General features: G+C 39.8%; 1 pseudogene; it reads left to right on the forward strand.

The window, feature by feature from the left end:
* On the forward strand, positions 10380-10894 carry RPS13P6 (ribosomal protein S13 pseudogene 6; annotated as a pseudogene).

Genomic DNA, 11387 nt, shown 5'->3' on the forward strand with positions numbered 1-11387 from the left:
AAGACCATCCTGGCCAACATGGTGAAACCCCATCTCTATTAAAAATACAAACAAAATTAACTGGGTATGGTGGCGCGTGCCTGTAATCCCAGCTACTCGGGAGGCTGAGGCACGAGAATTGCTTGAATCCAAGAGGCAGAGGTTGCAGTGAGCTGAGATCATGCCACTGCACTCCAGGCTGGTGACAGAGCGAGACTCTGTCTCAAAAAAAAAAAGGAAAATAATGAAATTGTCATTGAAACACCACTGTGCCAACAACACAGAGCAATTGGCAAGACTGCATGCATTAGACATGCATTGTCTAATGCCACGCTGCAGCAGCCTAAATGTTGGATGAGAGCCTGAATGTAAGACTAGGCTAAGAAGCTGTCAGCACTGTACAGTACCATTCAGGTCACAGTCTACTTACCCGGACATTATCTCATTTGGTTATTTCCTCACTCTTTCATCTCACCCCACACTCTTCACTTTTAAGGAAGAGCAATGATGGTAAGATTATGGAAATCAGTATTTGCTTAGCATGAATTATTAGTAAACAAGTATTATTTATTTTACTCAATATGGTAAATCCTGAGTAACTGCATAACCATCTAATGAGATGTTAAGAAGAAAGACTTTAAAGGAGCTCTTTATATAAGGACCACAGGAAGCATAAAAAAACCAACAACATTAAAGAGTTAATAAATATCAGTGATGAGGCTGGGCGCAGTGGCTCACGCCTGTAATCCCAGCACTTTGGGAGGCTGAGATGGGAGGATCACCTGAGGTCAGGAGTTTGAGACCAGCCTGGCCAACATGGTGAAAGCCCATCTCTACTAAAAATACAAAAATTAGCTGGCCATGGTGGCAGGTGCCTGTAATCCCAGCTACTCAGGAGGCTGAGGGAGGAGAAGCGCTTGAATCCAGGAGGCAGAGGTTGCAGTGAGCCGAGATCGCGCCATTGCACTCTAGCCTAGGCGACAGGAGCGAAACTCCATCTCAAAAAAGAAAAAGAAATTCAGTGATGTACAGACCAGGCATTTGTGGAAAATGCTCTTGGGTCCTACAAGCCACCTGAAGAAGTCTATATTCTTAACCCATCAATGGAGTGAGAAAACTGCGCTTCACTAGAGTGAGATCTTCAGCATGGGGTAGCATATCAGCAAGTTAAAAATAAAATAAAAATAAATAAATAAAACAAAGACTTGGCCAGGCACGGTGGCTCACGCCTATAATCCCAGCACTTTGGGAGGCCGAGGTGGGCAGATTGTTGAGGTCAGGAGTTTGAGACCAGAACTTTAGACTTTAGTAGAGACCCATCTCTACTAAAATACAAAAAATTAGCCTGGCATGGTAGTGTGTGCCTGTAGTCCCATCTACTTGGGAGGCTGAGACACAAGAATCACTTAAACCCAGGAGGTGAAGGTTGCAGGGAGGCAAAGGTTGCAGTGAGCTGAGATTGTGCCACTGCACTCTAGCCTGGGTGACAGAACGAGACTCTGTCTCACAAAAAAAAAAACAAAAAAACAAAAAAACAAAAAAACACAACAATAGCAAAACAAAAATAAAGACTTGATTCAAACAGAATGTGAAAAATGACACATGAGAAATTTGGGAATTTGAACACTGGATATTTGATGATATTAAGAAACTGTTGGCCGGGTGCGGTGGCTCACGCCTGTAATCCCAGCACTTTGGGAGGCTGAGGCGGGCAGATCACTTGAGGTCAGGAGTTTGAGACCAGCCTGGCTAACATGGCGAAACCCCGTCTCTACTAAAACTACAAAAAATTAGCTGGGCATGGTGGCAGACGCCTGGAATCACAGCTACTCAAGAAGCTGAGGCAAGAGAATCTCTTGAACCCAGGAGGCAGAAGTTGCAGTGAGCCGAGATCAGGATACTGTACTCCAACCTGGGCCACAGAGCGAGACTTTGTCTCAAAAAAAGAAACTGTTAATTATTTGTGGTGTGATAAGTGATTATATCTTTATAAAAAGAACCCTAAGCTTTTAGAAACACATATTGAAATATTTAGGAAAGAATTATGTGATGTCTGGAATTTACTTCAAAATAATACAAGAGGGTGGGAAATGAATTGGGTAATAGATGAAACAAAACTGACCACGTGTTGATAACTGTTAAAGCTGGGTGATGAGTAACAGGAGGAATTATGAAAATCTTATTATGAGATTCTGTTTACTCGTGTATATGTTTGAAATTTCCCATAACAAAAAGTTTGTAAAATGTTGGGGGATTGGAAACATAAATTAAAACTGGATACAAAGAATCCTGCCACATCAACATGGACAAACATTAAGAAAAATATTGGGGGCCAGGCATGGTGGCTCACACCTATAATTCCAGCTCTTTGGGAAGCCCAGGCAAGAGGATGGCTTGAGCCCAGGAGTTTGAGACCAGGCTAGGCAACACAACAAGACCCTGTCTCTACAAAAAAAAAAAAAAAAAAAGAAAGAAAAGAAAAGAAAAAAAAAGAAAGTAAAGAAAAGAAAAATTATCCAACCATTATCTGGACATAGTAGCACGTGCCTGTAGTCCTAGCTGCTCTGGAGGAGGATCGTTTGTGCCTAGGAGTTACAGGCCGCAATGAGCTGTAAGCATGCCACTGCACTCCAGCCTGGGTGACAAAGTGAGACCCTGTCTCTAAATAAAAATTTAAAAATAACATTGGGAAAAAGAGTTGCAGAAGGATAGGACCAAATGATGCCATAATTCCATGTATATAAAATGCCAAACATGCCTAACAGTGCAATACGAACCTTTAAGGGTACATGCATATGTCAGTAAAAGTAGGAAGACCAGCATAGAAAGGAGTGGTACAAATTTCAGAAATGTGGTTACTGGGGATGCAGGAAAGGGAATACAATGAGGGAGGGTTACACAAAGGGCTTCCACTATTTTTGTAAAGTCTTAGACCTTTTTGTTGTTGTTTTGGGGCAGAGTCTCCATCTTATGGCTCAGGCTGGAGTGCAGGCTGTGATCGTAGCTTACTGTAACCTCCAACTCCTGGGATCAAGCATCCTCAGTCCCTGAAGTAGCTGGGTCACACAGTGCCCACCAAAACTGGCTAATTTTTGTATTTTTAGTAGTGACCGGGTTTCACCATGTTGCCCAGGCTGGTCTCGAACTCCTCACCTCAAGTGATCCTCCCATCTCAGGTTTCCCAAAGTGCTGGGATTTCAGGCGTAAGCCACTGCACTTGGCCAAGCCTTACACCTTAAATTGGGTTATGGACACATAGGTGATTATGATATTCTATACCTTTCTGTATTTATGAAATATTTCATAAGAAAAATACATAACTAAAATTTTAAATTAAAAAGTGAAACAGAAGGTTACTAATCACCTAGAGGAATGAGTTAGAAGATTCTTGCACTTCTTGTATTGACTACTAACTAAGCCCATCTCTTCCCACTGCCTGCCCCACAACCCCTGTAGCTTGTAAGATTTGTTTTTGTTAAGATACTATTGTGAAAAATAATATCGACAAAAATACAATTAACATATTTAAAGACTAATAATAAAACAAGTTCCCTTGCACTTTTTTTTTTTTTGAGATGGAGTCTCGCTGTGTCGCCCAGGCTGGAGTGCAATGGAACAATCTCAGCTCACTGCAACCTCTGCCTCCCGGGTTCAAGCGACTCTCGTGCCTCAGCCTCCTGAGTAGTGGGACTACGGGTGCGTGCCACCACGCCTAATTTTTGTATTTTTAGTAGAGACAGGGATTAGCCATGTTGGGCAGGATGGTCTGGAACTCCTGACCTCAAATGATGCACTTTCCTCAGGCTCACAAAGTGCTGGGATTACAGGCATGAGCCATTGTGCCCAGCCTTCCCTTGCACTCTTGACTCAAGAAACATGACATTACCAGTAACACTGAGGTTCCAGGTATGCTCTCTCTGATCACATTCCCAACAGACAGGGCTGCTATGCTGAATTTTGTATTTATTATTCCTTGGCTTTTTTTATAATCAAATCATATATTGTGTATTTTAAAATATATTTAGTTTTGTATGTATTTAACGTAAATATGTGGAACCATAATGTGACTTGCTCTTCTTATGAAAACTGTTTGTGATTTATTCATGTTGGTGTATATAATTCATTCATGTTTGTGTCTGTGTGTATATATATTAATAATACATGACAGTTTATTTATCCAGTCTGTTATTGATGGATTTTGGACTGTTTCCAGATTTTGCTGTAACAAACAACACTGCTGGGAGCATCCTTACATGTCACCTGAAGTCCATGTGCAAGACTTTCTCCAGAATAAAAACCAAGGAGAGGAATGGTTGGTCACAGGATGTGCCCATCTACAATTTACTAGATAATGCCAGGTAGTCTTCCCAATTTACACTCCCACCAGCAGAGTGTGAACATTTCCATTGCCCCATGTCCTCACCAACACTTGGTGTTGACAATAAGCTTTTGCCAACTGGGTGAGAATGAAAACTAGAATCTGTGGTTTTAATTTCCATTTCCCTGCTTACTAATAAAGCTGAGGCTTTTTTTTTTTTTCATATTTTTGGCCATTCACTTTCTTGCTTTTGTGACATATCTATCTTTTGCTCACTTTTCTTTGCGGTATGTTGTCTTTTTTCTTTGTGGATTTTTAGGAATTCACCATGTGTTTGAGGTATAATTATATAAGTTATGTAAATTCTCTAAGTTCCCAGTTGTGACTTGCTTTTTCACTTTTTTACTCTTCTGGTATGAAGAGTAGTCCTAAATTTTAATATAGTTAATTTTTTTTTCTTTTTGAGATAGAGTCTCCCTCTGTTCCCCAGTCTGGAGTGCTGTGGTGTGATCTCAGCTCACTACAGCCTTGACTTTCCTGAGCTCAAGCGATCTTCCCACCTCAGGTGCTGGAGGAGCTAGGACTATAGACATGCACCACCGGGCCCAAGTACAGTTAAATTTGGTCACTGGTTTTTCCTTTTTGCTTTTGCTTTTTGTGTCTTATTTAAGAAAGATGGGCTGGGCGCGGTGGCTCACACCTGTAATCCCAGCACTTTGGGAGGCCAAGGCAGGCAGATCACCTGAGGTTGGGAGTTTGAGACCAGCCTGACCAACGTGGAGAAACCCCGTGTCTACTAAAAATACAAAATTAGCCGAGTGTGGTGGCGCATGCCTGTAATCCCAGCTACTCGGGAGGCTGAGGCAGGAGAATCGCTTGAACCCAGGAGGCGGAGGCTGCAGTGAGCTGAGATCACACCACTGCACTCCAGCCTGGGTTACAGAGCTAGACTTTCTGTCTCAAAAAAAAGAAAAAGAAAAGAAAAGAGATAAGAGGCTGGGTGTGGTGGCTCACGCCTGTAATCTCAGCACTTTGGGAGGCCAAGGCAGGTGGATCACAAGGTCAGTATTGGGAGAACCAGCCCCCAATATTTCAAAGTAGGTTCTTTTCTATTTTCCCTAAGTGTTGGCTGGTCTGAGAAATAAAGAGAAAGAGTACAAAGAGAAATTTTACAGCTGGGCCTCCGGGGGTGCCATCACATATTGGTAGGACTGTGATGGCAACCCCAAGCCACAAAACCAGCAAGTTTTTATTAGGGATTTTAGAAGGGGAGGGAGTGTACGAATAGGGAGTGGGTCACAGAGATCACATGCTTCAAAAGGCAATAAAAGATCACAAGGCAAAGGGCAGAGCAAGATCACAAGGCCAGGGCAAAATTAGAATTACTGGTGAGGTTCCATGTCCCACTGGGCACGCATTGTCATTGATAAACATCTTAACAGGAAACAGCGTTCGAGAGCAGACAACTGGTCTGACTAGAATTCGCTAGGCTGGAATTTCCTAATCCTAGCAAGCCTGAGGGCACTGCAGGAGACCAGGGTGTACTTCCTCCCTTATCTTCAACTGCATAAGACAGACACTCCCAGAGTGGCCATTTTAGAGACCTCCCCCTGGGAATGCGTTCCTTTCCCAGGGTTATTCCTTGCTGGGAAAAGAATTCAGTGATATTTCTCCTATTTGCTTTCTGCAAGAAGAGAAATATGACTCTGTTCTGCCTGGCCCCACAGGCAGTCAGACCTTATGGTTATCTCCCTTGTTCCCTGAAAATCGCTGTTATCCTCTTCTTTTTTAGGATGCCCAGATTTCATATTGTTCAAACACACATGTTTTACAACAATTTGTGCAGTTAACGCAATCATCACAGGGTCCCGAGGTGACACACATCCTCAGTTTACAAAGATGATGGGATTAAGAGATTAAAGTAAAGACAAGCATATTAAATTATAAGAGCATTGATTGGGGAAGTGATAAATGTCCATGAAATCTTCACAATTTATGTCATTCTGCCGCGGCTTCAGCCGGCCCCTCCGTTCAGGGGTCCCTGACTTCCCATAACAAGTGAATCTACCATTCTGGGGTCTGGAGGATGGTGGCCCTCTTCTCACAGCTCCACTAGGCAGTTCAGAGTCCCTGACTTCCCGCAACAGGTCAGGAGTTCGAGATCAGCCTGACTAATATGGTGACACCCCATCTCTACTAAAAATACAAAAATTAGCTGGGCATGGTGGTGGGCACCTGTAGTCCCAGCTGCTCAGGAGGCTGAGGCAGGAGAATTGTTTGAACCTGTGAGGTGGATGTTGCAGTGAGCTGCGATTGTGCCACTGCACTCCAGCCTGGGTGACAGAACAACACTCTGTCTCAAAAAAAAAAAAAAAAAAGGAAGAACAAAGTAGAAGCATGTGTCTAACCAGACGTCAGGATTCATGTTAAAGTTGTAATTACAAAGTAGAAGCATGTGTCTAACCAGACATCAAGATTCACGTTAAAGATGTAATTAAGACACCATTGAATTGGTGTAAGGGTAAAAGACCAGTAGAACTGAATAAAGAGCATAAAAAACCCACACATGTACAGAAACTTAATATATGATGGTATTGTCAATAAATGGTATTGACAATAAGTGGGGAAAGGATAGACTCTTAAATAAATGAGACTGGGACAATTGGTAAGCCACACAGAAAAAGAGGAACTGAATTCTTGCCTCATACCAAGCACAACAAATAATTTTATATGTATTATGGACTTAAATGTAAATGGAAAACTTTAAGACTTTTAGAAGAATATCTTTGGCCGGGCACAGTGGCTCATGCCTGTAATCCCAGCACTTTGGAAGGCCGAGGCCGGCAGATTACCCGAGGTCAGGAGTTTGAAAGAGTCCAGAGGTTAGTTTTATTTGTATTTGAACTTTATCTAACTGGAAACATATAGTAAATATGTAAATGGGGCCAGGTGTGGTGGCTCACACCTGTAATCCCAGCACTTTGGGAAGCCGAGGTGAGCAGATCACCTGAGGTCAGAAGTTTGAGACCAGCCTGACCAACATGAAGAAACCCCATCTCTACTAAAAATACAAAATTAGCCAGGTGTGGTGGCACATGCCTACAATCCCAGCTACTGGGGAGGCTGAGGCAAGAGAATTGCTTGAACCCAGGAGGCAGAGGTTGCAGTGAGCCAAGATTGTGCCATTGCACTCTAGCCTGGGCAACAAGAGCGAAACTCTGTCTCAAAAAACAAACAAAACAAAACAAACAAACAACAACAAAAAAACCCTAACTTTTAGTGATAGATGTCAGATACTGGTTTCCTTTGATGGGAGGCATTGGCTGAAAGGAGGATAAGGGGAGATGTAATTATTTTATATCTTGCTTTGGGTGGTGGTTACATGGGTATATTTAATTGCCACAATTCATAAAGTTAAATAGTTAGGGCCCTTGCATTTTATTTTATATAAGTTTATGCCTTTAAAAGAAAAAATATTGTTAAGAAAATGAATAGACAGACATACCACGAATTGTGAGATAATATTTGCAGTGCGTATGTGTGACCAAAAACTTGTGTCCTGAATGTATCAGGAACCACTAACAATTAACAACAACAACAAAAATCCAATTTAAAATGTACAAAGTATTTGAACAAACAAAAAAGACATAAGAATGGCCAATAAGCATGTGAAAGGGTGCTCAACATCATTATTCATTAGGAAAATGCAAATTAAAACTTCGATTTAAAAAAAGCTTCAATGGGGTACCATTATACACCCACTAGATTGGATAAAGTGATAATATCAGATGTTTATAAAGCTATGGAGCAACTGGAACTCTCAGTCTTTGCTGGTGAGAGTGTAAACAATTATCTCATCTTAGAGAACTGTTTGGTAATTTCCCCTAAATTTAAACATACATTTTCCCTATGACCACACAATTCTACTTCTAAGTATTTTTCCAAGGATAACGAAGGCATAGATCCACAAAAATACTTGTGCAAGGAAGTTCATGGCAGCCTTAATCATAATAATTGAAACAACTCAAATGTGCATCAACTAGAGATTGGATAAAGAAATTGTATTATAGTCATGCACTAGAACATGACATAGCTATAAGAATGGCAGTAATCTCAGCACTTTTGTAAACTGAGGCAGGATGATCACTTGAGCCCAGGAGTTTGAGAACAGCATGGGTAACATGGCGAGACCCCATCTCTACAAAAAATAAAAAAGTTGGTCAGGCATGATGGGATGCACTTATGGTCCCAGCTACTTGACAGGCTGAGGTGGGAGGATTGCTTGAGCCCAGGAGGTGGAGGCTGCAGCAAGCTGTGTTCATGCCACTGCACTCCAGTCTGGGTGATGCAGCAAGACCCTGTCTCAAAAAAATTTAACAAAAAAAATTTTAAAGAGGAAATTAACAAGTAAGTGTTAACTGCAAACCATGGATGGATTTTGAAAACATTACACAAAACTATATGTATTATATTTCATTTATAGGATTCAAGGTACATGAAGTCCAAGAACAAGAAAAACTAATCTATGATGTCAGAAATCAGAAAATGGTTGCATTGTGGGTAAACAGAAAATTGACTGGCAACCAGCACTGGGGAAATGGAAGTGTTCTATACCTTATTTATGTGGTGTTACGTGGGTGAATACAATTGTCACGACTCATTCAACTGAACACTTAAGATCAATTTAAAAATTCTTTAAAATGAAGGTAAAATAAAGACAGGTACGGGAAAATACAAATGACTGGATTTGTCATCATATAGTCTGCATTAAAAGAAATACTAAAGAGTATTTTTTAGACAGAGAAAAATGACCCCAGTGTAAGCTTGGAAATGCAGGAAGGAATAAATAGTAACAAAAGAGTAAATGTTAACTGTCTAAAACAATAATAATGTATTGTAGGATTAATATATGTAAAATTTAAAAATGACATCATTAGCACATAAGTAGGGAGAGAAGCAAATAGAGTTGAAGTATTCTAAGGTATTTTCATTGTCTAGAAGGAATAAAATACTAATTTTATTAAACTCTGGTAAGTCACAGATGAATGTGACAAAAATCTGCTTATAATTGTCAAATATATATATCTCATAACACACTGATAAAGGGAAATATTGAATAATAAAAATACTCAATAATTTTTTTAAAAAAGCAGTAACAGAGAAAGAAAGGAAAACAGAATACATGGAACAAATAGAAAGTAAATAGCGAGGTGGTAGATATAAAACCAAACATATAAGTAACTATATTAAATAAAAAAGGTTCCAAATAAAATGCTCCAAAAAAAGAAATAGATGGTCATACTGGATAGAAAATTTAAAACCTAACCATATATTGCTTATAAAATAACCATTTATATGAAATATAAATATGTAGGAATATTCAAAGTAAAAGAAAACAAAAATAGTTACTATTCAAACTCTAAACAAAACAGGTAGCTATATGAATAACACATAAAGTAGACTGTAATGTGAGAAGCATTACTAGAAATGAGACATATTTCATAATGAAAAAAAGGTACGATTCACCAGAAAAATGCAACAAACCTAAACTGAATGCACCTAATAACATAGCCTTAAATGTATATTAAAAACTGATAGAATTAAATGAAGAAGTAGACAAATCCACAATGATGCTTGAAGAATTTTAACACATAACCCTCAATAACAAATAAACAGGACACATGCCAAAGAATCAGATATGGTATAAAGATTTAAACAACACAATTAACACTCTTGAACTGACACCTATAGAACATTGCACCCAATAATTACAGAATTATTTTTCAGTTCAAAAATTTACTATATGTTGGCACATAAAACAAATCAATAAATTTCAAAGGAATGAAATAATACAGAGGGATTCTCTGACCACACTCTAATTAAGCTAAATATTAATTTCAAAATTCCCCACGGGCTTGGAAACTGAGAATTACATTTCTAAATAACTCATGGAATAAAGTAGATGTCATATTGGAAACTGGAAGAAAAGCTTACTAAATAACACTAAATAATACTACATACAAAAACATGTGATACAGCTAAAGCTGTGCTTAGAAGTAAATTTATGCATTTAAATACTTTGCCTTTCGCTGCCTGACCGCAGCCATCATGGGTCACATGCATGCTCCTTGGAGGGGCTCTGCCCTATCGCTGCAGGATCCCCACTCAGCTGAAGTTGATACCTGATGACATGAAGGAGCAGATTTACAAACTGGCCAAAAAGGGCCTGACTCCCTCACAAGTCAGTGTGATCCTGAGAGATGCACATGTGTTGCACAAGTACGCTTTGTGACAGGCAATGAAATCTTAAGAATTCTTAAGTCCAAGGGACTTGCTCTTGATCTCCCTGATGATCTGTACCATTCAATCAAGAAAGCAGTTGCTATTTGAAAGCATCTCAAACAAAACAGAAAGGATAAGGATGCTAAACTATGCCTGATTCTGACAGAGAGCCGGATTCACCATTTGGCTAGATATTATAAGACCAAGTGAATCCTCCCTCCCAGTTGGAAATATGAGTCATCAACAAACAGCCTCTGCCCTGCTCGCATAAATTTGTCTATGTACTCAAGCAGTAAAATGATTGTTTAACTAAAAACAAATTAATAAGTAAAATGCTTCCGAGAAAAGAACAATGGCTGATAATCAATGATTTAAATTGGAAAATAAACAGAATCTAAGGACATTAGAAGAAAAAAAAGATAGGAACAGACATTAATACCATAGCAAACAAATATACACTAGAGAAAATCACTTCATTGAAAAGGCAATTTAATAAATTATTGGTATAAAAAATTAGAAAAAACACAAGTTACTAAGTTCAAGAATGAAAAAGGGCTAAGGATGCTGGCTGGTGCATGTAATCGCAGCTACTTGGGAGGCTCAGGCAGAAGGCTCAGACGGGATGATAGCTTGAGACTAGGAGCTTAAGACCAGCCTGGGCAACATAATGAAACCCGTATCTAAAAGAAATAAGAAAAAAAAATCTGGGCATGGTAACATGTGCCTGTAGTCCCAGCTACTTGGGAGGCTAAGGCAGGAGGATCACTTGATCCCAGGAGTTTGAGGCTGCAGTGAGCTATGATAGTGC

This window comes from Homo sapiens, chromosome 5, assembly GCF_000001405.40.
Source record: "Homo sapiens chromosome 5, GRCh38.p14 Primary Assembly".
Lineage (NCBI taxonomy): Eukaryota > Metazoa > Chordata > Mammalia > Primates > Hominidae > Homo > Homo sapiens.